Here is a 27,596-nt window from a genome sequence, read left to right as displayed (position 1 = left end):
CGGATAGCAGCGCCAGCACAGCCAACGAGTGTGTGACACCGCCGCACTCACCACCGCTCTGCGCCCAGCCCCAGGCCAGTACCCGGGCCCACGACTTCCCCCGACTCCCCCTAGCACGGACTGTTTCTCGCCGGAGATCAACTTTAAGTCCCCAAGACAAGTGCTCCTGCGGTCCCAGGGCCAAAGTCCCTCCACACACCCTCACACAGGCACTTCCTACCCACCCGCACCCCACCCCTGGGGGTGGAGGAGAAGCAGCAGCGGCCCGGGACAAGCACAGTCCGCAGCCACAAACCTCACTCTACCAGAACTCCGGCTAGGTCAGGGGTCAGGCTTTGCTCCCAAACACAACCCCACACGACTAACGCGGAGAAGCTGGGTCACCGCCTACTCAAACTCCGGCCGTCCCAAACCCAAGCCGGGCAGAGTGGGACCCACGGCGGCGTGGGAGACTGAGCACAACCACGGCGGGGCAGGAGGAAGGGGCGGCCCGCCCCGGCCTACGCCCACCCCCACCCCGGACCCGATCTCCTGGGAGCCGAGGGTGGGTGACTGAGCCGAAAGGGTGGCCCATCCCCGAGCTCGCTGCTGGGGACGAGAAGCAGAGCCCCGAGCAGCAGCGGCCGTCCAGGCTCCCGTCGCCCTCACCCCGCCCGGCACGGGCGCGCACTCGCCGGGGCGCGCTGATGGGGCGAGGGCTACCGAACCAGGAGTGCCGGCCCCGGGCCCGCCGCGGCTCTCGTCCGCGCGGCGCCGGAGTTCGGCTCAGCGGGGTCCCGGCGGAGGCCTCCAACCTCTAGCGAGCAATCCTGGCAGACAAAGCCAGCGCCGCCCGCGGGGCCGCTCCTGGGCAGGCGGGGAGGGAGGCTGAGGGGCCAAACAGGGACCTAAGGAGCAGCCCTCGCCCCCGGAGAACGCTCGGGGAAGTCGGCCTCAGACAAAGAAAGGGGCAGGGCCCGACGCCCCAGCCAGGTCTCCGCGCTCTACTCACCCGCGCGCGGCGGCGGCAGCGGCGGCGCGGCCCGGCTCGGCCGAGGAAGTTAGAGCAAGTTCCGCGGCGCGGGGCGGGAGGGCGCGACTCGGGCCGTCCGAGCGGCGGGGGCGGGGCGCGGAGGGGCGCGGAGGGGCGGGGCCGGAGGCGCGGCGCCTGCCGTCTGCCGAGGAAGGGGCGCCGCTTCCCTGCGCCGCCCGGTGCGGCCCCGGGCGCCTGGGCCCGCCCTGGCCCCGCCCCTCCCCCAGCCGCCTCGCCCCTCCCCCACCGCACCCCGCCTCCCGGCCCGCGCGGCACCGGGGACCGCGAGGCCGGGTCGCCGGCCCGCCCCTTTGTCCCGCTCTGGGCGGTGCCGGAGGCTTGGGGCGGCCCCGGTCCGCGCCCTCCCAGTGGGTGCGCGGCGCAGGCCGGGCCTGGCCCGGGGCCGGGCACTTGTAGCCGCCGGGAGCGCTCTGAGCCGTTGCGCTGCGCAGACGCCGCTCTGGCCTTGTCGGAGCCGAACCTGGGAGAAGCACGAGCTGTGGGAGGCGGCGTCTCGAGGGATACACGGGATGACCGTGGAGAGCGGGCGAAGGATTAGGAAAATGGCTGTGGTGGAGATAAGAGGCGTTCCTGCCCGGCTTTGGAGCCTGGGGGCGGGGGTAGTCTTCAATCAAAAGAAGGATGGGGAAAAGGTTTTTATTTCTTTGTAAACCAAGGAGTAAGGACACGCTCCTTCTGGCCTTGGTGCTAAAAATACCAAGCTTTCTTTGGATCGTGGCTGAGATTTCTTCCTAACCTTTACGCTAAAGAGGTGGCTGGGACGATTCTTGTGGTGTAGGGGGGTTTCCAGGGACAGCCAGGGGTGGCGCCCCTCTTTGGATCGTGGCTGAGATTTGTTCCTCACCTTTACGCTAAAGAGATGGCTGGGACGATTCCTGTGGGGTAGAGGGGTTTCCAGGGATAGCCAGGGGCGGCTCCCCAGCCTCAGCCTCCCTACCTGTAGAATGAAGCATGCCACACCTCTGTTTCTTAAACTTATTCGGTGGCTGAGGGCCGAGTGGTCTTCTCTGTTGAGTAACACCAAACAGGGATCTATTAAAACTGGGCTAAGACTGGTTGCCACATGCCAGTACAAGCAACCAACAGGTTAATTCCAATGGAAGGAGGAAATCTTGAAATGGAGACTGTTCAGTCCATTCCCAGGTTTGTTTGGGTTGTTTTTTGAGCTAAGGTATCGCTTTGTCACCCAGGCTGGAGTGCAGTGGCATGACCATGGCTCACTGCAGCCTCGACCTCCCGCCTCAGCTTCCCCAAGTAGCTGGGACCACAGGTGCAGGCCACCACACCTAGCTAATTTTTTTTTTTTTTTTTTTGTAGAGACGAGATCTTGCTGTGTTGCCAGTGATGGTCTTAAATTCCTGGGCTTAAGCAATCCTTCCGCCTCTGCCTCCCAGAGTGCTGGAATTACACGCATGAGCCACGGTGCCTGGCTAATTTTATTTGTTTGTTTAATTAAGAGGGATGCAACCTGTCTGTGACAGCCCAGGCAGCTCTGGAAACTCCCTGGGAACCTGTCCATTCATTCAGCAGATAGTGAGTGTTTGTCTGAGTGCCTGATAATATGCCAGGCCCTGTGTGCATGGTGGGATACTTCAGTGAACAAGACAGCTGAGGCCTTTTGCCCAATAAAGTTAATTTTTAGTGGAGAAGACAAATACATAATCACAAGTTGAAGTAAAGGCTGGGACAAAAACAAGGGGCTAGAATAGAGAATAAAAGCTACCTTAGATGAAGCAGTCAGGGAAAGTGAGGAGGCGATGCTGAAATTGAAGTCAAAAGAGTAAGGAGTTAGCCTTGGGAAAAGTTGGGCAGAGACATTCCTCGCTGAGAGCAGTAGGTGCCTTTTCAGGGTAAGTTCTGGATGGGTCAGGGAACTGAAAGAAAATCAGTGTGGCTGAAGTTTTAAGCCTAGGGGAAGAGGCCCAGGATGGAGTGAGAAGGTGGGTGGGGGCCAAAGCATGCAGGGCCTGTGGGCTGTGTCAAAGAATGGAGACTTTGTTGAGCCTTGGAAGGGTTTTATGCAGAAGACTAACATGTTCTGATTTAAGGCTGTGTGTGGGTGTCAGGCAAAAATAAAAGCAGGGAGCCAATTAGGCTTGCCACAATCCAGGCCAAAGATGATGGTGGTTTGAACCAAAGTGGTGGTCATGCTAAGATGAGTAGTTGAGAGATGCTATTTTGGACTTAAGAGGACACATTGATAGGAAGGACATGGGGGCAGGAAATGGAGAAACCAAAGATAACTCAAGTTTCTGGCTGGGGTAAGTGGGTGGATAGTGCTTCATTTATTGGATCAAAAAGCATGAACCACATCTCAGGGAGTTACATCAGGAATTCTGTTCAAGCCACATGGAGCTTCAGATGCCTGTTAGAGAACCAGCGGGGTTATCTCATCACTAGGAACTCAGAAGAGAGGCCAGGGCGGGAGAGGGGCTTTGGGATACATCAGCATAAAGATGCTCAAGGCCACGGGATCTGAGAAGGACACACAGGGTGAGGGAGTAGATGCAGAAGAGGAGAGAGTTCAGGAGGGACCCAGGGGAACCAAAGCAGGCAAGAAGACTGAAAAAGAGACTGGGGAGGCAGAAGGAGAATCAGGAGTATCCCAGAGACTGAGAAAATGTTTCCAGAAAGCAGTTGTCAGCTGTGTTAGACACTGCTTAGAGATCAGGTAAGATGAGGACTGGGACCTGTTGGCTCTGGCAACATGAAGGCAATTGGTGAACATGATGAGGGCAGTGTTCCTGGAGTAGTGGTGGAAGCCATGCTGTGGTAGAGCTACCATATTTGCACAACTTGTCTAACAGGGAATGGAGAACTGGGAGGGATCTAGAAAGGATACGGAAGCATAGGATGCTTTGGTAGAGATTGCTAGATGCCCCTAGTAGTAATTCTCTCTTCCCTTCATAGAATTTCTAATTCTGTCTGGCCACATGGCTTCCCAGAATAAAGGCAAGTTTCTCAGCCTCTCTTGCAGCTACACTTCATTCCTCCCAATAGGAAGTAAGTGTAGGAGTCCATGTGCAAATTCAAAACTGGCTTTAAAGGGAAGTCATGTGCTTTACTCTTTCCTGCCCACTAGGATATATTAATAGATAGCTGGAGCTCAAGCATCCATATTGGATCTTAAGTGGAAGCCAAAGTGTTGAGGATGTTAGTGGAAGTGAGAATAAATGTGGATGCTAATGTGTAGGGAGCCACCACACATTTGGACTACTACCTCTTGACTTTCTTTATGGGAGAAGGACATTTCTGTCTTGTTTAATCCTCTGTTTTATGGCACATGTAGCCACATCTAATTCTAACATTTGTTGGAATAAAGAGGGGTTTGTTAAAATATGGGAGTCACTGAAGCAGGCTTGCACACTGATAGGAATGATCTAAGAAGAAGGCAGGGGCCATGATAGGAAGAGCAGGTGAAAGGAGATAGGGTATAGGCACTAACGAGGGTCACCTCCTACAAAGGGACGCCTCCACCATCATTAAGGAGAGGAGTGTGGAGGCCGAGGAGAGGTTTCCGGTAAAGGCTGGGATTGGGAAGATGATTACTCACACCTGGTGATTTCTGCTCAATCCTGCATGTGCAGGAGGTCATGAGCTAGAACAAGGAGGAAGGAGATGGGGAAGCCAGTTTTGCAAACCATGGACTGAGCGGTTTTGGAGATCTTGCTGGCCTGAGCAGCGTCTGGGAGATGTGTCCTTTCTGGAATAGTTGGCCACACTGCTGCTATGAAAAGTGTGGTGGGAATACCCACAAAGCCAGCATGGCCTTCCCTGCCATGCCCCAGACAGTCACATCTGACACTCACCTGCCATTCCCAGCTGTAGCAGAGACCCACAGAGCTTTATCTGACCCATTCTTTTTTTTTTCCTTTGAGACGGAGTCTCACTGTGTCACCCAGGCTGGAGTACAATGGCGTGGGCTCACTGCAACCTCTGCCTCCTGGATTCATGGGACTATAGGCACGTGCCACCACACCCAGCTAATTTTTTGTATTTTTATTAGAGGTGGGGTTTCGCTATGTTGGCCAGGCTGGTCTTGAACTCCTGACCTCATGACCTGCCCACCTTGGCTTCCCAAAGTGCTGGGATTACAGGCGTGAGCCACTGTGCCTGGCCTATCTGATCCATTCTTACAGCAACATGGAGTGGCTTGAGAGAGCCTCAGAGACACGAAATGCAAAACAGGTCTATTTTATTCTCCTTTATTAAAAAATAAAAAATTCAATATAGACAGCCCCAACTCATAAAAGGGTTGTATTGTAACCAGTGGTTTACCTTCCTGGCTAGCACCTAGAACCATAATTGCCAAGCATATAACTGAATTGTAGTGCAGACTGCAAGCCTAATGTATGGACTGTGGGAACAAAAAACAGTATAGGAAGGAGGAAAAGAAAAAAGCTGAGAGTTTCTTATCTTTTTCCTGGACCTGAAGCTGCCACAGATAAAATTGTAAGTGGAAGAGCTTGCCCTTTGTCTTCCCCTGACTTCTATAGCCCTCTGTGTCGGTCCCCAGTGCTGCACTCCCACCCTGGGCTCCACTCTGCAGCCTCTGTGTGTGTTTACAGGGCAATGGGCAGGTCAGGGTGAGATTGAACAGAAGAGGGAGTTGGTGTCCAAGCTCTCCTAGTTCTCAACATGATCTTGAGCAAACCACTTTACATTCCTGAGCCCTGCTGTTCTTATCTGTAAAGTCAAGGTAATACTAAAACCCACCTCACAAGCTTGTAATAAAAATCCAAAGAGATAAAGTTTGTAAAACTTCGAAAAATACTGGGTAAGCTGTAAAGAACTCTGTTACCCAGGAAAGATGTCTTATTAGGACCAGACTACCAAGGATTAGTCGGGACATTTTGGCTGGAAATGAGAACCCCACTCAGACTAGCTTAGGTCATCAAAGGGGAGATACTGGAAGGAGCCTCAGATTGCTCACAGAATTGAAAGAAGAACTTGAAACCAGAGTGACACAAAACGGGGCTGATCCTGACAACGTCCCAGAACGGGGGCCCTACCCTCTGTTTCTCCTAGTTCTCAGAGTTTGCCATGTCAGGTATGTGACTGAGTAAGTCTACACTCTTAAGTCGGTATGAACAAATCTCAAGAAAGGATCGACCGGGCATAGTGGCTCATGCCTGTAATCCCAGCACTTTGGGAGGCCAAGGCGGGCGGATCACTTGAGGTCAGGAGTTTCGGACCAGCCTGGCCAACGTGGTGAAACCTCGTCTGTACTAAAAGTAGGAAAATTAGCTGGGTGTGGTGGCGCATGCCTGTAGTTCCAGCTACTCAGGAGGCAGAGGTGAGAGAATCGTGCTTGAACAGGGGAGATGGAGGTTGCAGTGAGCTGAGATTGTGCCATTGCACTCCAGCCTGGGCGACAGAGGAAGACTCCATCTCAAAAAAAAAAAGAAAAAAGAAAAGAAAAGGATCCTAATTGGGTCAGCTCTGGTCACATATTCACTCCTGGACCCATTCTTACAGCAACATGGAGTGGCTTGAGAGAGCCAAACAAACTCTGACACAACCAGCGTGATGAGGGAGATGAGATATCGTAATTGGACTAGGTCTGGGTCACATGCCCATGCCTATGATCAGTAGGGCAAGGCCTATGCAGAAGAAGGGGTAGTGGTGTGTGCAGGGCCAACATCATCATTTTTAGCAGTCTTCTATACCAAGTATTCTTTAGGCCCTGGGCAGGTTTTAGGCAGAATGGTGACATTGTTATATCTGTACTTTAGAAAGATCCCTAAGGCTGGAGTGGGAAGGGAAGGTGGGAGGGAGCAAGATTGGAATAAAAAATGGTTAGAAAAGAAATGATGAGGAAATAGAAAGAGGTGGACAGAATCAAGATATATTTAGGAGCTGGAACTGACAAGTGACTAATTGCATGGGAGAATGAGGAATAAAGAGACATCATATTCTGGCTGCGTGGGCAGTGGCGCTATTCACTGAGAAGGAACACAAGAGACCCTGTGTGGATGTATAATATGTTTGGTGAGAGGTGATGCCTTAGACCTCTTCCATTTGAAGTGTTCCTGGGTAGGGTGGAGAGGTGCAATTTGCTGTATGGAGTTAAGAGAGACAGCTAAACAGAAGTTATCAGTTTGGAAGTTGTATCCATTTGAAATTGTGTTTAGCTTTTCTAACAATAACCCAAGGCCAGGTGCGGTGGCTCACATCTGTAATCCCAACACTTTGAAAGGCTGAGGCAGGAGGATCACTCGAGCCCAGGAGTTTGAGACTAATCTGTGCAACATAGTAAGACCCCATCTCTTTAGGAAAAAAAAAAAAAAAAGAAAACAGAGAGAGAGGAGAAAGAGAAAGAGGGAAAGGAGGGAAAAGAGGGAGGGAGGAGGGAAGGAAGGAAAGGATGGAGGGAGGGAGGGGAGAGAAAATAGCAACACAACTACATTGCCTTAACTACATTCAGCTTTCTCGCTGTAGTTGTAGGAAAAAATTCTGACACAACAAGAAGTCTAAAGGTAAGCAGAGCAAGGCTGATCAGCAGCCCCACAACGTCATCAGGTCCCAGCTCCTCTCTGTTGGTGTGTCTGGCTCTCCTTAGGGGACAGAGTTGGCTTGTGGTCATACAATGGCTGCCCCAGCTCCAGCTTCCCACCCACATTCCAGACAGAAGAAAGAGCAAAAAGAATGAAGGGGCAACACCTAAAACTTACCCAGAAATCCCCAGACTACTGCTTATGCCTCACTCGCCGAGTGCAGTCACATGACAAACCCTAACTCCAAAGGAGGTTGGGAAATGTTTAAAAAATTAACTCCTGTTTTAAAGAAAGAAGGGAGAATCGATATTGAGGAAGCAGTGTGTGATAATTGAAATCATCAGAGTAGAGGAGATTATTTTGGGACTGGGAGATGAGAAAAGGACCAAGGACAGAATCTTTGGAAAACGAGAGAGCAGAGGGACCAAAGAGACTGAGGAAGACTGTCCAGTGAGGTAGGAGAAAAGCCAAGAGGGTGGAATGGATGGAAGTCCAGGGGCAACAAGTGTTTCAAGAAGAGGGGAGTGGTCCAGTTTCCAGGGCTGCAGAGGGCCAGTGAAACAAGGCTGAAGAGCAACCATGGGGTTAATAGCTTCAGAGAACTGTTTCAGTGGAGAATTGGGTCAAAGACAGTTAACAGTGGGCTGAACAGCAATTGGAAAATGAGAGAGAGGTTGTTAACTGGAAGATGATGAGGATAAGCAGTTGCAGGAGGGTGTTTGTTTAAGAAAGGAGAGACTTGGGCCAGGCACGATGGCTCATGCTTGTAATACCAGCACTTTGGGAGGCCCAGGTGGGAGAATCGCTTCAGCCCAGGAGTTCCAGGTGAGCCTGGGCAACATAGTGAAACCCTGTTTCTATTAAAAGAAAATAACAAGAAAAACAAAGGAGAGACTCAAATATGTTTAAATGATGAAGGGAGAAGGCAAGAGAAGAGGGGAGATAAGAGAGTCTGAAGGAAGAGAGAAAACGCTTGCTGGAGAAGGTGGGAAGGATTGGTGTTCAGAACAAGAGGAGAGCCCCAAACTGGAGGACAGCAGGACCTTCATAGAGACAGGAGGCAGGAAGACAAGCTGGGTGAGGATGCAGATGTTTGTGGGTTCGGTGGGGCTTCCTAAGGGAAGGGGTCCACTTTCTCTGGAAGTAGAATGGGCACCTGCTGAAGGTTAAGTGGGTGTTGGGTGGGATCCAAGGATTTCAGAGAAACCTAGGAGAGAACGAGAGACACCTCTGAGCAGGGGCAAGCAGGAATGTTTGGGGAAGGGTTGCAAGCCCAGCTGCAAATGGAGACCCAGAGTGAGAGTGACACACATCTCAGATTACATGACCTTTTTCATCAGTACTCAGCAGCTGGAGTATGTGCAAGTGCAGAGAGCACAGACAGCAGGATTGATCAAAATCTGGGGTTTGCCGGGAGAGCATGATAGAAAAACAATGGTGCAAAGGATTCCAGAAGGTTGGAAATAAAGCAGTTGAGGTGTTGTATCCTGAGGCTTGGCTACTAGGGGAGAGAAGTGACAGCTGGAGGGGCTAGTAGATAGGGGGAAAGAAGATGAGGCTGCGGCTGGAGGGCCCTCAGCATGTGAAGAAGGGAGATACGGTGACACAAGGCTGTGGTCAGACAGAGGTGTGTATCCATGGGACCAGGTGATTGAGATGGAAGAAACGGAGAAACAAATGGCCCTGAGGGTGAGGAGGTCAGGACCAAGAGGCTAGTGGGAAGATGGGTCACTCCATCAGTATATGGCAGGACTTGGAGTGCAGGCAATGGCAATGGGTTAGGCGCCAACATCTTTGGTAGAACTTTTACTTCAAGGTCAGTTTTGCACTGGTGTTGCCTTTCTTGAAGAAAGAGGTTAGGGAGCCTTGGGGAAAAGAGAACAGAAAGGAAATTTATTTCTTGGCCTGTCATTCTATACTTGGCCTATTTGTTCCAGAACAATCTATTTTAAGGAATCTGCAAACTTCTAGGAGGTTTCTACTCTTATTTGCATCTACAGCCTCAGCCATGGGACCTCTGCCTGCCAGTGGCGTCCCCTGCAAAGAATTAGGACTAAGATTTGTGATAGGAGCCCATGTGTGAGGATAAGACACAGTGGAACACCCTTTAATTATAGCATCTGAGACTGTCTAAGCAGATGGTGGTGACAAGGAGTCCTGTCATCTCTCTGCCCTCAGTTGTTCCATTTCATAAACTGAAGGTGGCAGAGAAAGAAAGGTTGTTCAACAGGTGACATCCCACGGCCCTTTCAGCCCTGTGCATCAACCACACTGTAATGACTCCACATGGGAGAAGAAAGTTTTGCCAAAGAAGAAAACCCCAGATGTGGCCAAATAAGACATCAAGGGAGGGAGCAGATCCTAGATGTTAAGAGCAAGTATAATACCAGGAATCGGACTGCACGGGCTAAGTCCCAACTCTGCCCCTGAAAGCTAGGTCCACTCAGGCCGGAGAGCTGCTCATGTCTACCCAGGGAACTATGGGATCTGTGCAGATGTCAAAGCCACTTGACAGCACAGAGTGTTACTTCTGGAATAATGTCATGCAAACTGACCTTCACAAAGCTCTGACTTAGTAACATAAATGTGGAAAGGGGGCTCAGAGGGAATCACCTAGCTGATAAGTGGTAGAAGCAGGACTGTCAGCTTTATGACCACACCTGAGTCCCCAGTCTGTCTCAATCTCACACCTAGAGATTTGAGGGTCGGCTAAGGCCCTGGGACCTCTAGGCGCAGACACTGCTAGGAGAGCCACTGAAAGTTCCCCCTACCACTACAAAGTAGGGGAGAGAGGCACACCTAGACTCATCTGAGACAGAGCAGAAAACAGATGGATGTTGCAAACATCACAGGTACCTCTCCCTGTCCCTGTCACACAGCTTTGGGGAGTTTTAGTTGGTTCCATGGAGAATCTGGTAGTCCCCGGGGAGAGCTGCGCAGCAGTTGATGCCGCGTGCATACACTGCCACCTAGAGGCAGTCTGAGGAAACTCCAAGTTTATTAAACCACGGGTGTGTGTGTGTGTGTGCGTGTGTGTCAGTCTGTCTTTCTGTGTGTTGGGGGAGGAAGGGAGGGCTTTTCAGTCCTTGTCTGGCACTGCTGATTCTCTCTTTCCTGGAGCCCTTGGCTCTCTTCCTCTACCCACTCGGGACCACGTGTCCTGCACGCAGCTCCTCCTCAGTCTCTTTGCAGATCCTGCTCCCCATTTCCTACAAATGCTACTTTTCCCAGATGCTGGGAACATCTAACACCATTTTCTTCCCCCTCTCATCTCCACAGGCTCTCTGCCCTCTGTGCCACTCTGTGTCTTTAGAATCCTCTGTGCACCGCCCCCACCCATCTTTGTGGCCAGATCCCTCTCCTGAGCTCCGGTTCCCCCTCCCTCACACTAGAAAGAAAATCTGATCCCATCAGTCCTCCTCCTGCAAACCCTTAGAGGTTCATTTCATGAACACAGCTCCTTCCATTGTTCTACAGGGATTAACCAGGCCTGGCCTCTGAGTGGGCTGCTCCAACCATATTCTGACCACAGGCCTGCCTCACACACAGTGACCTAGCCTGTCACCTCTGGTTTGTGACCACCTAGACCACACTTCAGGACCCACTGTGTTAGATTAGATCACTCACTTGGAATTGCCCCTGGCAGAAGGAAGCTGCCCCCCACCAGGGCTCTGCCCCACCCCCATCCCTGGTGCAGGGTGCAGCCTATGTCCACTAAACGAGTGATGGGTGGGAGTTACAAAGCCCCTTGTCTCATTTCGGGGCATCTGCTGGGTGATCTCAACTCAGAGCTCCTGTGGGATCAGTTGAGGCCTCACAGCTCCATGTCGCCCTCCACTCAGTCCTGCTCCCCTCACTTCTTGCATACACATTTCTGGACCAGCTTCTATTTCCTGTGCACTTGGCACATGCCATCACTTTGGCTTAGAACAGCTTTTGAGTTATTTTCCTTTGCCTGTCTGAGCACAGGAAGTAGAAAGCCACCCAGCACAACCTTGCAGCCAGGCCCTTAGGAGAACTGGCCAGCAGAGGTCAGGATCTAGTACTGCCTCCACGTCACCCACTCTCTATTCTCACTGAGACATTGGTATCTCATTTATCTCCACAGTGCCAGCAACTTCTGGCCAGCTTCCCCTCAGGGCTCCTCCCTGCCTTCTGCCGGTCAGCTGTCACCATCTGCGCCCCTTCTGGGGAAAAACTTTGTACAGGTTTTACAGGTCCCTGGCTAGTTCACAGAGGCCTGAGTTAGGGTCCAGGGTCCACCCCGGTCCAGTCGATGTGCCCAGGACCGGGGTTTGTGGTGCAGACCGTGGAGAGTCTGGGTGCCTCCAATGGAAGGTGTGGCATGGCCAACTCTGAGGTCCCCAGGATGGGACAGCAACATCTGGGCACATAATGTCTTGCCACCTGCTGCTAAGGCTGCTAACTGCAAATAATAAAGAAGCAAATTTAGAACCACATATTAGCATTTGTAACTGGTTTTAGTATGCATATACAGATCCAGTTTTGTAATGATTATATTATTATTTGTCAATTTTTAAAGGCGTTTTAAACATTTATGAGACTGAGTCATTACAGTTGGGAAGAGTGTAACTGATTACATTTAATGTTTAAATGCTCAAGGAAAATCTACTTTCTAAAAATTATCATCAACTGAAGAATGACGAGGTTCATAAATTTGGCTCTCTTGAGTCATGAAGGCTGGGGAAAGATGAGAGTCCGATAAGGGCAGCCCAGAGCTCTGCATGGCAGAGACTTTAAAGACTTCCTGCTTCAAGCAGCACCCGCTTTCCCAGGAGCTGGCTGTGCTTTGGCCCCCAGGCTCCACACCCTAGCCCCTCCTGGCCAGAGGCATCTGGCCTCCTCCTGCCTCTGTGTATAAGCAGTGCTGGGGTGAGAGCTTAGCAGCAGAACTGGCCTTCTCTCCCCCTGAGGAAGCCTAGCACAGTCATGAAGGGCACAAGGGAGGGCCAATAACAGCTGGGTCCACTGGCTCAGGAAGATTGGCACCCCCCAGGACACTTAGCTGGATTTGTGTCCCTTTCCAGGCTCCTGCCCATACAGGCCCATGAGATTTCCTATGCTCCTTGAATCAAATGGATTTCTTACAGTTCTATGTGGCCTGAGTTTCACAACACAAATAGCCCTCTCTGAGGGGCTAAGGGTGAGGGCACAAAACTTCTTGTCAGTGAACTAGCTAGAGAGGTTTACCAAGCACGCAGTATGGTGCATTTTTATTACTCTGTTAAAAGTGTGTGATTAGTTAATATACTCATATGGAACAGATTATAAAAGTTCAAAAGGGTATTAAAAGGGACATTCTCCTTTATGTCCCCAATCACCAGTATCCTGTTCCTAGAGCAAATACTGTTACAAGTTTTCATGTATTTTCTCATAAATATATTATGGCAGACACTGCTGGTTTTTGTTTTTTTCCCCAAATCCATTCTTTCTTCTTCGTCATCATCTTTTGTTTTGTTTTCTTTTGTTTTTTGAGGAGTCTTGCTCTGTCACCCAGGCTGGAGCACAGTGGCACAATCTTAGTTCACTGCAGCCTCCGCCTCCCGGGTTAAAGTGATTCTCCTGCCTCAGCCTCCCAAGTAGCTGGGATTACAGGTGTGCGCCACCACGCTTGGCTAATTTTTGTATTTTTAGTAGAGATAGGGTTTCACCATGTTGGCCAACTGGTCTTGAACTCTTGACCTCGGGTGATCTGCCCCTTGGCCTCCCAAAGTGCTGGGATTATAGGCGTGAGCCGCCTCTCCGGGCCTGAAGGGCATTCTTTCATAGCAGGGACAGGAACAAGCCCAGGCTGTTCTGGCCAGTTCCTCCTGACCTCAGGCTATTGCATTCCCAGCACATTCTACAGTTATTCTTGAGAACTACAGTGAGAAAGCTGGGAGAACTGGGTCAGTCCAAGGCCATCTGGAGAACTGCTCTGTAGTCCATCCGAAACCCAGATATCCCCCTTAGCGAAGCTGGTCAATTTCATATCCCACCAACCTCCCTGGATTTGGAGGCAGGGGTTTGGTCTGTCTCATTAGTTCGAGAACACTTTAACTGACACAATCCCAGTGAGACATCATTAAGCCATAGCCAGAATCCATTTCACGAGGCCCAGGAGGACCCCTACAACTGCAGAATAACCAGGGCTGCCTGGAGCATGACCTAGCCTTGGACACAGCGATCCAGTTAAGAAGTCGCTATGGAAGTCTAAGAAGGATCCTTCAGGTGGCCCCACTGTCTGCAGCCAGTGGGCCTGCTCCTGAATTTTTTCTGCTTGTGAGGGTCTGCTCCTGAATTTCTTCTACTTGTGTGTCTTTTCTTTCCTTTTTTTTTTTTTTTGTTTTTGAGATGGAGTTTTGCTCTTGTCGCCCAGGCTGGAGTGCAATGGCACAATCTTGGCTCACTGCTCACTGCAACCTCCACCGCCCGCGGTTCAAGCAATTCTCCCACCTCAGCCTCCTGAGTAACTGGGATTACAGGCACCTACCACCATGCCTGGCTAATTTTTGTATTTTTAGTAGAGATGGGGTTTCACCATGTTGGCCAGGTTGGTCTCTAACTCCTGACCAAAGGTGATCCGTCCACCTTGGCCTCCCAAAGTGCTAGGATTACAGGTGTGAGCCACCGCGCCCAGCCTACTTGTGTTTCTATGAAATCTGATGTGCTTATCCAGGTACAGCAGGAGGTGTTAACAATTGCACACACTCCTCCCACTTGGGCTAAAAGAAAGTCTAGAGCAATATTGGTATGTAAAACAATCTTCCCAAGAGAAATGAAGGATGTCTGCAGGGCTGCCAAAACAGTGGCTGTGAAGGAGGCAACATCTGCCATGGTCAGGGACAGATTTCTTATCATTCTTTTATGAGCACTGACTCCTAGGTAGGTACCAAAGAGCTCATAAAGAACATGAACCCAGAGTCAGTTACACCTCCTGGCAGGCTCCCTAGTCAGCCTGGTGTATAGCTTTAGGCTGCTAGCCCAGTGGTGCATCTCATTTCCAGGGGTGATATCCAATGGCACCCCCAGCCCATCTAATGTGCAGAATTTCACCATCCACTAGCATTCTACTCTCTGCTTTTATGGGTTCCTTTTTTTTTTTTTTTTTTTTTTTTTGAGATGGAGCCTCACTCTGTCGCCCAGGCTGGAGTGTAATGGTGTGGTCTTGGCTCACTGCAACTTCCACCTCCCAGGTTCAAGCAATTCTCCCACCTCAGCCTCCCAAGCAGCTGGGATTACAGGTGCCCGCCACCAAGCCTGGCTAATTTTTCTATTTTTAGTACAAAAATACAAAAGAGATGGGTTTCACCATGTTGGCCAGGCTGGTCTCGAACTCTTGACCTCAGGTGATCCACCCGCCTCAGCCTCCCAAAGTGCTGGGATTACAGGCATGGGCCACCGCGCCTGGCCTATGGGTTCAATTTTTGAAAAAAAAAAAAAAAAAATTCCACAAATAAGTGAAGCCAGGCACAGAAAGACAGATACTGCATGATCTCACTTAACGTATGGCCTCCAGGTTCACCCATGTTGTCACAAATGACAGAATTTCCTTATTTTATTATTTTTTAAAGATGGGGTGTGGCTATGTTGCCCAAGCTGGTCTCAAACTCTTGGGCTCCAGCAATCCTCCCATCTCAGCCTCCTGGGTAGCTGGAACTACATGTGCACTAACACACCCAGTGTTAGATTTCCTTCTTTTTAAAAGCTGAAAAGTACTCCTTTGTGTACATATGCCACATTTTCTTTATCCATTCATCCATTGATGTATACTTATCTTGGCTATTGTGAATAATGTGCTGCAAAGAACGTGAGCATGCAGGTATCTCTTCAACATACTGGTTTCATTTCCTTTGGGTAAATACCCAGTAGTGGGATTGCTGGATCATATAAGAACTCTATATTAAGGAACTCTATACTGTCTTCCATAATGGCTGTACTAATTTACATTCCTGCCAACAGTGTGTAAGGGTTCCCTTTTCTCCACATCCTTTCCAACGTTTGTTTCTTTTGTGTGTTTGTTTTTGTTGTGAGACAGAGTCTCGCTCTGTTGGCCAGGCTGGAGTGCAGTAGCATGATCTCGGCTCACTGCAACCTCCACCTCCTGGATTCAAGCGATTCTCCTACCTCAGCCTCCTGAGTAGCTGGGACTACAGGTGCGCACCACCATGCCCGGCTAATTTTTGTATTTTTAGTAGAGACAAGGTTTCATCATGTTGGCCAGGCTGGTCTCAGACTCTTGGCCTCAAGTGATCCACCTGCCTCAGCCTCCCAAAGTGATGGGATTACAGGCATGAGCCACCGTGCCCGGCCCCAAGATCAAGAATTTTGACTGACTCAGACTGTGCTGGGAGAGCATTTAGTGTAGCAAGTGGGACCAGCACATCTTGTTGGATGAAGAGTGCAATTAGAGGCATCTTCTGCTGGAACAAAGCTCTGCAAGGAGCTGCCCTGTGGACAGACTGAGAGAGGCATTTTCGGGGACTCAGGTATCTCCCACTGGCCACCCCTTGGCAACTCTCACTCTAATTATGGCTGGACCTGGGCCTTAACGAGTGCTTCTGCAATGAGAAACTTCCATCATCAAGTCTTCGGTAACTTTCAAGTAACAAAGGCAGGATAAATGCTTGTCTTTCTTTACCAGGTTTCAAATGAGTTGCTTTCTTAGCATCATCCAGAGATTTTCTTTTTTTAAAGGATCATTATGAACTCATTGATTTGAACATCTGATGTGTTTTAATTCATTGCCATTATTCTTATTGATGCTCAAAGAGTCCCATCTTTGGCAAGTGAGAGTTGTCTCCTGAGTCTGTCCTTTATACAAGCCCTTAGTGGTGATTGAGAGCTTGCTTGGTATCTGGTACAACAAGATGTTACAGGCTCATCTTGTACATTTTCTGCCCCAACCCTGCAATCAGCCATTTCCCCAAGGAGTTCCCTTTAGCAGAAACTGATATTGGAAGACCATGTTCTGGGCTCAGCTGTCTCTTGAGAGACTTTATTCATGTTTCCTGGCTGAACACCATGGAAATTAGGGCATGGGTGTCTCTTAACTAACTTCAGAACAGACATGGACGACTACTTGGCACGAAAGGGGAAAATTCCTCTGCTTCTTAAAAGATTTCACAATTGTTTGTCAAGGTAAGGCAGTGGTCTTCCACCTTGCCTACATACTAGAATCCCCTAGGGAGCTCTAAAACATACTGATGCCTGGATCGATCCAGCCCCAGAGATTCTGGTTTAACTGGACTAGGATCTGGACTGAGCAATGGCATGTTTTTTCTTTTCGTTTTGTTTTGTTTAGTGTGAGGCTCGCAGATGGGGCTCAACCCTGACTGTAATTATTCTGTATTTGTCTTTACACTTTTACCATCTATATATGGAGCTTACACAATACTGTTTGCAAGCCTTACACATTTATGTAAACTGTATCCTACTGAATGTACATTCTGAAGCTTTTTTCCTTCCTTGTTTCGGTGCATCCAAGTTGATACTTATACCTCTCATTCATTCATTGTAACTATTATAGCACAGTAAAACCTTCTACTACCCCATCATTTTCTGCTGTAAAATGATCAAAAATTCATGAGCAGTTAGTTGTCCAGGAGAAAAATCATGAAGGTAACCCTGACTGCTCTTTTTCTTACATCCTATATCCAAATAGTTCAAGAATCCTCTTAGCTCCTCTTTCTGTCACATCCTACATCCAACAGTTAAAGAATCCTCTTAGCTCTGCCTTCAAATATATCCATCATGACGCTTCTCACTATCTTCTGTGCTCCCACCTGGTTGCCACCACCATTCTCTCTTGCCTGGATCATTGCACCAGCCTCCCAAATGGGCTCCCTGCTGCCACCTTTGATCCTCTAAAATCTATTCTCTCAAAGCAGCCAGAATAATAGAAATCAGATCATGTCACTCTTCTAAAAACCCTCTAAACGAATTCCCATCGCTCCCAGTAAAATTTAGAATTGCCTCCTATCCCCTACTGCAATAACTAGTGTGTGGGTTGACCTTGACCATCATTATATAATACAGAAAGGTGACCAGGTACAGCTGGAAGAAGCATGTCCTTGAAAGGACCTCCCCACACCTCCCTAATCCAGGGATCTAACCCACTATCATCCTCAATTGTTACTGTCTTCAAAACAAAATGACAAATCCTCCTTTAAATGTAGAAAGGATTTGAAGGGTTAAATGAGAACAAATCAACTTTCTTTCCCTTCCCCTCCCAAACATAAACTGACAAATACACACCTTCTTGCTTGCCCCATGGGGCACTGGCAACCCAGAATGGAGGGAGGGCAGCTAGTGCTGGGAAGAAACTGCAGTCTGCCCTGACTGCATCCACCCTCTATCCTCACAGCCCCTACAGCCTCTTCCCCACAGCTCACCTTCCCTGCCCTCCACTCCCCTACACTGCAATGGTATGCTTTGCTCTGGGAAAGAGAGGAAGCAGACACAGGCATTGCTTTTGAGAAATCTGCATACTGGGAGAGAGGACATAGAACCAGGTAAACAAAACAGACTAGACTCCTCCGTTTTCCCCTAGCCATGCTTCGCTATCCAAATCTCTGCCTTGGAAGTTCCTCCAGCTGGGGGTTCCCCATGCACCCCTGTCCACACCATCTGTGACCCTTGCCACTGCTAGGGCCAAGGAAAAACTCGCCCTTCACCCGCTGCAGACTTGCTGAAAAAATCACTGACAAGAGGCAAATTAACAGGAGAAAAAGCAAACAAATTTATTTGATCATAATTGTATGTGAGCCCTCAGAATGAAGACCCCAAGATACAGGGGAATTGTCCATTTTTATGTTTAGGTTCAACAGATTATGGACTGTGTAGAAATATGATTGGACAAGAAGGGTATGATCTAATAGTAATAGACTGAGAGGGGAAACCCAGCAAGGCTGTCTAGATTCTTCTTGGCCTCTCTGTGCAGGATTCCTTCCTTCTGGGCACGGGGTGGGACCCTCTCTGGAATGGGTATCTTACGACAGTCAAACACGGTAGGTCAGATCATTTCTTTCCAACCAGTTTTTACACAGAAAGGGGAATGGGGAGTGAGAGGACTATTTTTAGGTTTTATGGCTGGCTTTGGGTAAAACCGGTTCTGGTTTCTGATGACCTGCCTTGGGGAAGAGGGATTCTAGTTTCTATGGGTAGCCTTGGGGGAGAATGAAAAGCCAGAAACAAGAGGGCAGGAGAAGGTCAGAGAGAAACTTTTGCTTCTGGGGCTGCTTCTGAGGCCTTCCTTTTAAAGTTATCAGAGATGATCAGGGGCATCCTGGCTCCAGGTAAGGTCTCCTGACGTGAGTGTGCTGGTCTTCCACACTGGATGCCGAGCCTTTTAAAGGGTGGTTTTCAACCTTGGCTGCATATTGGAATCACTCCAGGAGCTTTAAGAAATATTGTTGGCCTGGTGCTGTGGCTCATGTCTGTAATCCCTGAGCTTTGGAAGGCTGAGGCAGGATGACTGCTTGAGCCCAGGAGTTCGAGACCAGCCTGTGCAAGATAGTATAAGAGCTTGCCTCTACAAAAAATTTAAAAATTTGTTGGGTGTGGTAGTCCACGCCTGTAGTCCCAGCTACTAGGGAGGCTGAGGTGGGAGGATATCACTTGAGCCCAGAAGTTAAGGCAGCAGTGAGCCATGATTGCATTACTGCACTCTAGCCTAGGTGACAAGCAAGATTCTATCTAAAAAAAAAAAAAAAAAAGTTGCTTGGGGCCTACCCCAGAGATTCTGATTTAATAATTTTTACACTGCACCCCGCCCCCAACCCCCGCACCAGGTGATTCTACTGTGTATCCGAGATTGAGAACCACCAGCTTTACAGCAAGGACATTTTCTTACGTTCTTTGAATTTTCTTGCATTTCTTTGCATGTGGATTCTCAGTTTATCAAATAAATAAAAAGGAAACCTGCAAATGCTTGTCAAAGGCTGCTGAAACTTCAAGTCCAAAGCCCACAGAGATTAATGACTTTAATCTGTATAGTCCTTTAGAACCATGCTTCTCAAAGTGTGACCCATGGACCAGCAGAACATCAAGATCACCTGGAACCTGTTAGAAATGCAGAGGCTGGCCACGTGTGGTGGCTTACACCTGTAATCTAAACACTTTGGGAGGCCAGGAGTTTGAGACCAGCCTGGGCAATACAGGGAGACCCCCATCCCTACAAAAATAAAATCTGTTGGGTACGGTGGCATCCACCTGTAAGCCCAGTAACTTGGTAGGCTGAGCCAGAACAGCTTGCAGCCAGTTTGCAGCTGCAGTGAGCCATGACTGGGGCCACTAATTACACTCTAGCCTAGGTGACAGAGCAAGACCCTGTACATAAAGAAAAAAAAAAAGCAGAAACTCAGGCCCACCCAGACTGCCCACTGGAATCTTGAGAGCTGCAAATCATTGATTTTCAGCACAAACAATTTTGCTCACCCCGGACACGGAGAGACTTGAACAAACACTAGCATAGTTTCTAGCAGCTCAAGGCCCTGTCTCAGGGATAACCCAGGCCCCTTTGGGTCCCTGCCTGGGGAAGCTCAAGGCTGCCAAAAGAATTTACCATTTGTTTCAGCCAATGCCTGATCATAGGTTTCTAATCTCCCTCGTTTTTCTTGAGATGGAGTCACACTCTGTCACCCAGGCTGAAGTGCAGTGGCGTGATCCCGGCTCACTGCACCCTCCGCCTCCTGGGTTCAAGCGATTCTCCTGCCTCAGCCACCCGAGTAGCTGGGATTACAGGTGCGCGCCACCACAACAGGCTAACTTTTGTATTTTTAGTAGAGACAGGGTTTCACCATGTTGGCCAGGCTGCTCTTGAACTCCTGACCTCAGGTGATGCACCCACCTTGGCCACCCAAAGTGCTGGGATTATAGGCATGAGCCATGGCACCCAGTCCCTCCCTCTTCTTAGAGGACATACTTTATAAAATTTACAATTGTAAATCCTTTCTGTCCCTTTGGGGGATATATGTATCTTCTGCTGCACAGGAATGTGTTTCTCACTTTTTCTGGGAGCCATCCCTTTGTCATATAATTATCAGGAATGATAAGGCCGACTCCTGGTCTCTGTGGGAGGCTAGGATCCTAACTTTGATAAATAAATTTGAGAGTTAGTAGACACAGATAGCCGAATCACATTGACCAATCTCCTTACCAGCTTTTTGTAATTTTGCACTTCCCTAGTTCTATTTGAACCTCCTCCCTCCCCTCTTTAAAATTCCATCACCTCTGCACAGATTGGAGCTAAGCTCAGTTCTATACTGAGGACTCTCTCCTTCTGCAGTAGTTATTGAGTAAAATCTGTCATTATTGCCTTTAGCGTCCAGCTTTTTAAGTCTCCATTTTAATAAGGTCCTTATGTGATGTGCATGTACATTACAGTCTGAGAAGCAGTGTCATAATATTTATCATTCCCTCAGTGACTTATCATAAACAGCCCTGAATGGGAAGGAATCACGCCCATTTTGCCAATGAGTTAGATCTTTGCTTAAGATCACACTGGTAAACTAGAAATTGATTATGCCTCATGACTCAATCCAGTGCTCTTTCCAAAATGACATGCTAATCAGAAAGAGAAGACCACACTGCACGTGAGGACCCAGGGGAAAAAAGTTGGTGAGAGCTCACAAAAAACCAAACATGTTTCTCTTGATGCATCTCCATTGGTGCAATGTCCTCTCAGGTTTTTTTTTTTGATATGGAGTTTCGCTCTTGTTGCCCAAGCTGGAGTGCAGTGGCACGATCTCGGCTCACTGCAACCTCTGCCTCCTGGGTTCAAGCGATTCTCCTGCCTCAGCCTCCCAAGTAGCTGGGATTACAGGCATGTACCACCCCGTCTGTCTAATATTTTGTATTTTTAGTAGAGATGGGGTTTCACCATGCTGGCCAGGCTGGTCTCGAACTCCTGACCTCAAGTGATCCTTCTACCTCGACTTCCCAAAGTGCTAGGATTACAGGCGTGAGCCACCACACCTGACCTCAGGTTCTTCTTTAGTTGCAAGAGAACTGTTTCACCATCAAGTGTCTTAGGTATTAAAGTTCTAAGTTTAGGTACTGAGTTATCCTATCAGTAGCTGGAGTCCCAAGGATGACAGGTACCAACCCTGTGCAAGTACCAAAGGCTATGGCCTCAAATGCTGCAGAAGCCCAGCCCTTTAAGGGCCCATGCATACCCCATGCAACCACTGCTACATGAAGTCAGGTGCAGGCATGGTCTTAGTGGGTCTTAGTCCCGAACCACTCAACCCTAACTCACTCTGCATACTCAATCCCGATGCTCTCCTACTTTCCCAGCTTTACCTCCAACATCAGTATCCATTCTTGCTTTCCTGGGTAAACACTGATTCCTTTCTCCTCCTGGCTGGGCCAGTCCCCTGGGTAAACACTATTTCCTATTTCCACCCCCACCTTTCTACTCCTGGGCCAGTTTGATGCCTTGAGTAGACTCCCTGTGGCCGAGCTCCCTGGTAGGTCTTGATGATGTCACTCAAACTTACACGACAAAATTCAAACAAAAAAGATAAAGTTATATTTCATCATCTCTATGTCCTTTCTTCTGATTTGCCAAATTAGGCTAAAAGACCAATAGAAAAACAGCTACCAATTTTAAACACCAAAGTCATTCCTCTAGGAAAGACAGCAAAATTACTAACGTGAATGACAGGATGAATTTTTCCTGGTCATTTTCAAACCACTTAGATAGCTAGAACCAGAGGAATCCCCCGAGGCACTTTACCCCTCAGCCATGGAGAATGCTGACTTTTTTTACTTTCAGCCAATTATATGGTAAATATAATTATTAGTTTTATCAGAAAATCTTATACATACAGGTGATTTCTGATGCATAATTTTATTAAAGCCAGAGATGGACATTTTTTCTAGAGAAACAGATCTCTGAGGTTAGAATGGAAGATAATGAAACAAGAGATTTCACTTTATAATTTACCTTTGTCAAACTATCCCAGAGCATGTCAATTCTATTATGAAAGTATTACTTTGACATCATATAACCAATTATTAATAGAAAACACACATGCCAAAAAACCTTAAATTTTGTAATCTTCAAGTCAATCATCAACTTTTCTTGAATTTTTGAAGACCCGAAAAGAAAAATAATTTCAAACAACAGCACTCAAACATCATATGCATTTGTAATGAGGCACAGCAATCAATTTTTTTTTTTTTTTTTTTTTAGTTAGAGTCTCAGTCACCCAGGCTGGAATACAGTGGTGTGATCTCAGCTCACCGCAACCTCCACCTCCCAGGTTCAAGTGATTCTCCTGCCTCAGCCTCCCGGGTAGCTGGGACTACAGGTGCCTGCCACCACACCCGGGTGATTTTTGTATTTTTAGTAGAGACGGGGTTTCGCCATGTTGCTCAGGCTGGTCTCGAACTCCCGACCTCAAGTGACTTGCTCACCTTGGCCTCCCAAAGTGCTGGGATTACAGGTGTGAGCCACTGCACCCAGCCTGGCAGTCAATTTTAAGCCTCCTATTTCCCAGGTTTTAGCTTAATAATCCTCATTAGTTTTTCAGATTTTTGTCAGTCTTGTTTTGGGGCTATTTTGCCTTAGTGGGCCTAAACAGAATATTAAAATACATTAATAATCCATACTGAGAGTAGAGTATAAATGGGTTTCTCACTCCTTAGGGACACGAGTGGAAACAATACATCCCATGAACACAGGTGAATGTCCCTGGTTATCCCTGAGCTGGGCAGTTTCACACAATCATTTTTTCTCTGAGGCCAAAGTCTGTGGTTTGATCATCTTAGCAGCTTCCAGAACAGAAAGTAGGTTTACTTTGTCTCCAAATTCTTTTTCTCGGTGCTCAAGAAGAATGCCCTAAAAGGAAACAAGAGATAATGTCAGTCCTCATCCTAAATCGTTCGTTCATGAGACAGGCATCGAGGACCAGCTGTCTGTCAAGCCTTTTGCTTGAATAGCAAAGGACACAGATCCAAATATGGCCTGGCTCCTGCCCTCAAGGAGTTCAGTCTTTGAGGGAAGATAGACCGGAGAAGGCCACATCCATCTGGCCTGTACCAGCAGCTCTAGAAGCAGGAAGTCAGAAGTGATAAAGCATGACAAGGGCAATCAGGGAAGGCCTCACAGAGGCACGGAGGGTAACCAGGATGTCTACAAGTAGAGATGCAGGTAAAAGAACATACCAGGTGAAGAGAAAAAAATGAAGCTAACACAGAAAGGCCCAAAGGTGTGGAAGTGGAGCTCAGAGGTTAGACTTTGGAAGGCACTGAATGACCATCTAAAAGAGAGACCCTCATTTTTCTTTAGTCTTCTAAGAAACTGGAAGCCACTTTCTTCTCATACAGTGAAAAAAAATGCACTAAGACACAAGATACCCCAAAGTTATCTAAAGTTGGAGGTAGTAAAAAAAAGACAAAATAACATGTTTGAGATCAGCATCAAGGAATCCTTGTTAGAGTTCTTTGATTCATTACATCTGGAAACTCATCTTAAAAAGAAAATCTGTAAATACACTGTGTCATTATTTATAAAGACTTAAAAAAAAAAAAAAGGCCCACCACACTGCAGAGATTATGGGCAAGCAGATCAGAAAATTATATTTACTTGCTCAGTAAACCATAATACAGACATTAAAAATACTAATAGGCTGCGTGCTGTGGCTCACACCTGTACTCCCAGCACTTTAGGAGGCTGAGGTGGGCGGATCACTTGAGGTCAGGAGTTCAAGACCAGCCTGGCCAACACGGTGAAACTCGGTCTCTACTAAAAATACAAAAATTAGCCAGGTACGGTAGCTCAAGCCTTTAGTCCCAGCTATTCAGGAGGCTGAAACAGGATAATCCCTTGAACCTGGGAGGCTGGGAGGCGGAGGTTGCAGTGAGCCGAGATCGCGCCACTGCACTCCAGCCTGGGCGACAGAGCAAGACTCCATCTAAACAAACAAACAAACAAAAACACGAACAAAAAACTAACAATATATAGTGACATAGGAAAATGTTCACAATATACTGTTAAATGAAAAAAGAACATCTAGTACAATTTTCTAGAGCAAAGCAAAACAAAAGGAAAGGCCATTCAGCTTTGTTCCAGTGGATTTTCCACGGTGGCTGAGCTCATAGGATGGTTTTCCCCACCTTCTATGTTCTGCTGTTTTTAAATTTTCTGTAGTGCAAACACACTTTTTATTTATTTATTTACAGACAGGGTCTTGCTCTGTTTCCCAGGCTGTAGTTCAGTGGTGCGATCATAGCTTACTGCAGCCTTGAACTCCTGTGCTCAAGAAATCCTCCTGCTTCAGCCTCCCAAGTAGCCAGGACTACAGGTGCATGTCACCACGCCGGCTAAACTTTTTTATTCTTTATAGAGATGGGGTTTTGCTATGTTGCCCAGCTGCTTCTTCTTTAAGAATGCTTTCAAGATTATTATTAAAAAGAAAATTCAGGCAGGGTGCGGCGGCTCACGCCTGTAATCCCAGCACTTTGGGAGACCAATGTGGATAGATCACTTGAGGTCAGGAGTTTGAGACCAGTCTGGCCAACATGGTGACACCCTGCCTCTACTAAAAATACAAAAATTAGCTGGGCATGGCAGCGGGTACCTGTAATCCCAGCTACTCGGGAGGCTGAGGCAGGAGAATCGCTTGAACCCGGGGGGGTGGAGGTTGCAGTGAGCTGAGATCGTGCCATTGCACTCCAGCCTGGGCAACAAGAGTGAACCTCTGTCTCCAGAAAAAAAAAAAAAAAAAAAAAAAAAGGAAATCCCCACCACCCCAATTTTAGACTACAAAAACTCTACACCCAACAAGAACTGAAGTAAGTCCTGAAGTTCAGCTAGCCAGTTAACCTTCCGCCTAGGAGAATGAAGGCCAGGGGCTCCAGGGAATACGAACAAAAGTCAAACACACCTAGCAACATCAGAAACATGCCAGTAGGGCCCATGAGCACCAGATGAGTCATCGCCAGGCAAGAAAAGGCTGGCAGGCATGCCAAGCCCTGCCCTAGAGGCCATGAGAAGGCAGAGGCGGGTAGGGGAAGGAACCCCACGTTGTCAGAGTGGGAAGAGGATGGGCAATCCACTGGGGAAGTGGCCTGCCCAAGCATAAGGACATCAGGAAGTGGTCGCTGGGAAACACCTCCAAGGAGAGGCTAGGGGCAGGGCAGGGCAGGAGAGGCTAGGGGCAGGGAAGGGCAGGAGAGGCTAGGGGCAGGGCAGGGCAGGAGAGGCTAGGGGCAGGGCAGGGCAGGGCAGGGCAGGAGAGGCTAGGGGCAGGGCAGGGCAGGAGAGGCTAGGGGCGGGGCGGGGCAGGGCAGGGCCGGGCCGGGAAGGGTCTCTGGAGTTTGACAGATTTGAGTTCCTAAGTTTCATTTCCATTGTACCACTTAGCTGTGTCTTTGGCTGAGTTATTTTAAATCTCTAGGCCAACTGCTGTATATGTGGATGGGAATAAAAATGCCTAACATCCTAGACTGGTTGTGAGGAAGACATGAGACCATGTACTTGAGCACGTAGAACAAGACAGGCACTCATTGGAAACCATTATTACTAAGACACTTTGACAGATTTACCAGAAAATTAGCAAATAGGTTTATGTTAAATCAGACACCATTTTATGCTAAATTCTAATATAGTCAAGCGAATCAGTTACCAAGCTGTAAAAGGAAGACATAAGAAATAAAGCTCAGGCCAGGCGTGAGCTTGTAATCCCAGCACTTTGGGAGGCTGAGGCGGGCAGATCATGAGTAGAAACCCTGTCTCTACTGAAAATACAAAAAAATTAGCTGGGTGTGGTGGTGGGTGCCTGTAGTCTCAGCTACTCAGGAGGCTGAGGCAGGAGAATGGCGTGAACCCAGGAGGTGGAGCTTGCAGTGAGCCGAGATCGCACCACTGCACTCCAGCCTGGGCAACACAGTGAGATTCCATCTGAAAAAAAAGAAATAAAGCTTAAACTTGAAGGATTTCTATTCCCTTTTATTCCTCCCAAATTGGGAAGAGTATGTAATTATCAACATTAATAGTGAGATCCAACAATGCAGATAAACCCCATCTTTCTACAGAAAGAAAACACTTTCTACACGTTAATGTCATGTCCAAAATTGACAGAGACAGGCCTAGAAGTCAGGCCACCAGTTTCCAGGTCCTTCTCCCATACCCTTCCCTCATCCACTTGCTTTTTTGAGATGGAATCTTGCCCTGTCCCCTAGGCTGGAGTTCAGTGGCACAATCTCAGCTCACTGCAGCCTCTGCCTCCTGGGTTCAAGCAAATCTCCTGCCTCAGCCTCCCAAGTAGCTGGGACTATGGGTGCGCACCACTACACCCGGCTAATTTTTTAAGCTTTTCTTTAGTAGAGATGGGATTTTGCCATGTTGGCCAGTCTGGTCTGGTCTGGAACTCCTGGCCTCAAGTGATCCGCCCGCCTTGGCCTCCCAAAGTGCTGGCGTTACAGGTGTGAGCCACCGCGCCCAGCCCCCTCATCCACTTTGCTCCATCCCTGCTACACATCCTCCTGGCCTCTGCTGACACTGCCCTCCAGGGCAGGGGAACCACCATGGCTCAAGGCTGCCTAGACTCTGACACAAACAACTGCCTACCTGGCTCTTGGGCCTATAGAGACCCCATTCCTCCTTTCCACACCTTCCCCTAGGGCTCCATGCTGCTTGTGGAGCCTCACAGCCAGGACCTATAATAATAGCCTGTTTGCAGAGGAGTCAGATACCTTTCCTAGGCCAGCCCTGACACCAAGATCCCCACAGAAAAAAGCATCGTCTCCCCGCAACCTCCTTGCCACTTCCCCTAATTACGCCTGGTTCTATTCCTTATTTTCTCCTCTTATTTTTTTTTCTATCATCCATCCATGGTGGCCTGGAACACTGCAAGAGAGTAAATTCAAAAACAGAATAAAACTACGCTTTTGTTCAAGCACAGAAAACAAAACTTAAAGTCAGCAAACCTGGGTTCAGGCCCCAGCAGTGCCACCCATGAGCTGTGCTCCTTGAACTTAAAGTCAGCAAACCTGAGTTCAGGCCTAGCAGAGCCACCGATGAGCTGTGCTCCTTGTGCAGCTGCTCATCCCTTTTC

General features: G+C 48.5%; 2 protein-coding genes across 14 annotated transcripts in view, besides 6 other annotated features; both read right to left on the bottom strand.

Annotated features, from left to right (window-relative positions):
• The window catches only part of TSPAN14 (tetraspanin 14), a 68,322-nt gene extending 67,269 nt beyond the window's left edge, over nucleotides 1–1,053 (bottom strand). For all 5 annotated transcript variants that reach the window (NM_001351267.4, NM_001351268.2, NM_001351266.2 and 2 more), the window contains exon 1: nucleotides 992–1,053. The gene's annotated coding sequence lies outside the window, so the exon portion shown is untranslated. The remainder of the gene's footprint in view (nucleotides 1–991) is intronic.
• Nucleotides 18–277: an enhancer, noted in NCBI's record as "active region_3656". NCBI's record gives its function as "activates an Ori minimal core promoter by ATAC-STARR-seq in GM12878 lymphoblastoid cells {active_cell/tissue: GM12878}" and the evidence as "EXISTENCE:reporter gene assay evidence [ECO:0000049][PMID:35858748]".
• Nucleotides 18–1,457: a biological region, named in NCBI's record as "H3K27ac-H3K4me1 hESC enhancer GRCh37_chr10:82214375-82214892".
• Nucleotides 227–744: an enhancer, noted in NCBI's record as "H3K27ac-H3K4me1 hESC enhancer chr10:82214375-82214892 (GRCh37/hg19 assembly coordinates)". NCBI's record gives its function as "activates a minimal SCP1, AML or CMV promoter by ChIP-STARR-seq in naive H9 embryonic stem cells {active_cell/tissue: H9 hESC(naive)}" and the evidence as "EXISTENCE:reporter gene assay evidence [ECO:0000049][PMID:30033119]".
• Nucleotides 408–1,457: a silencer, noted in NCBI's record as "silent region_2546". NCBI's record gives its function as "represses an Ori minimal core promoter by ATAC-STARR-seq in GM12878 lymphoblastoid cells {active_cell/tissue: GM12878}" and the evidence as "EXISTENCE:reporter gene assay evidence [ECO:0000049][PMID:35858748]".
• Nucleotides 1,488–1,697: an enhancer, noted in NCBI's record as "active region_3655". NCBI's record gives its function as "activates an Ori minimal core promoter by ATAC-STARR-seq in GM12878 lymphoblastoid cells {active_cell/tissue: GM12878}" and the evidence as "EXISTENCE:reporter gene assay evidence [ECO:0000049][PMID:35858748]".
• Nucleotides 5,476–5,770: a silencer, noted in NCBI's record as "tiled region #12974; K562 Repressive DNase matched - State 8:EnhW". NCBI's record gives its function as "represses a minimal TATA promoter and a strong SV40 promoter by Sharpr-MPRA in K562 cells {active_cell/tissue: K562}" and the evidence as "EXISTENCE:reporter gene assay evidence [ECO:0000049][PMID:27701403]".
• Nucleotides 18,248–27,596, bottom strand: part of PRXL2A (peroxiredoxin like 2A) — a 29,287-nt gene continuing 19,938 nt past the window's right edge. For all 9 annotated transcript variants that reach the window (NM_001243779.2, XM_011540266.3, XM_017016775.2 and 6 more), the window contains exon 6: nucleotides 18,248–23,377. In NM_001243779.2, the coding sequence (NP_001230708.1) occupies nucleotides 23,264–23,377 (114 nt within the window). In that variant the 3' untranslated portion in view covers nucleotides 18,248–23,263. The remainder of the gene's footprint in view (nucleotides 23,378–27,596) is intronic.

This window comes from Homo sapiens, chromosome 10 (genome assembly GCF_000001405.40).
Source record: "Homo sapiens chromosome 10, GRCh38.p14 Primary Assembly".
Classification (NCBI taxonomy): domain Eukaryota; kingdom Metazoa; phylum Chordata; class Mammalia; order Primates; family Hominidae; genus Homo; species Homo sapiens.
This window is presented reverse-complemented; position numbering and strand designations above follow the sequence as displayed.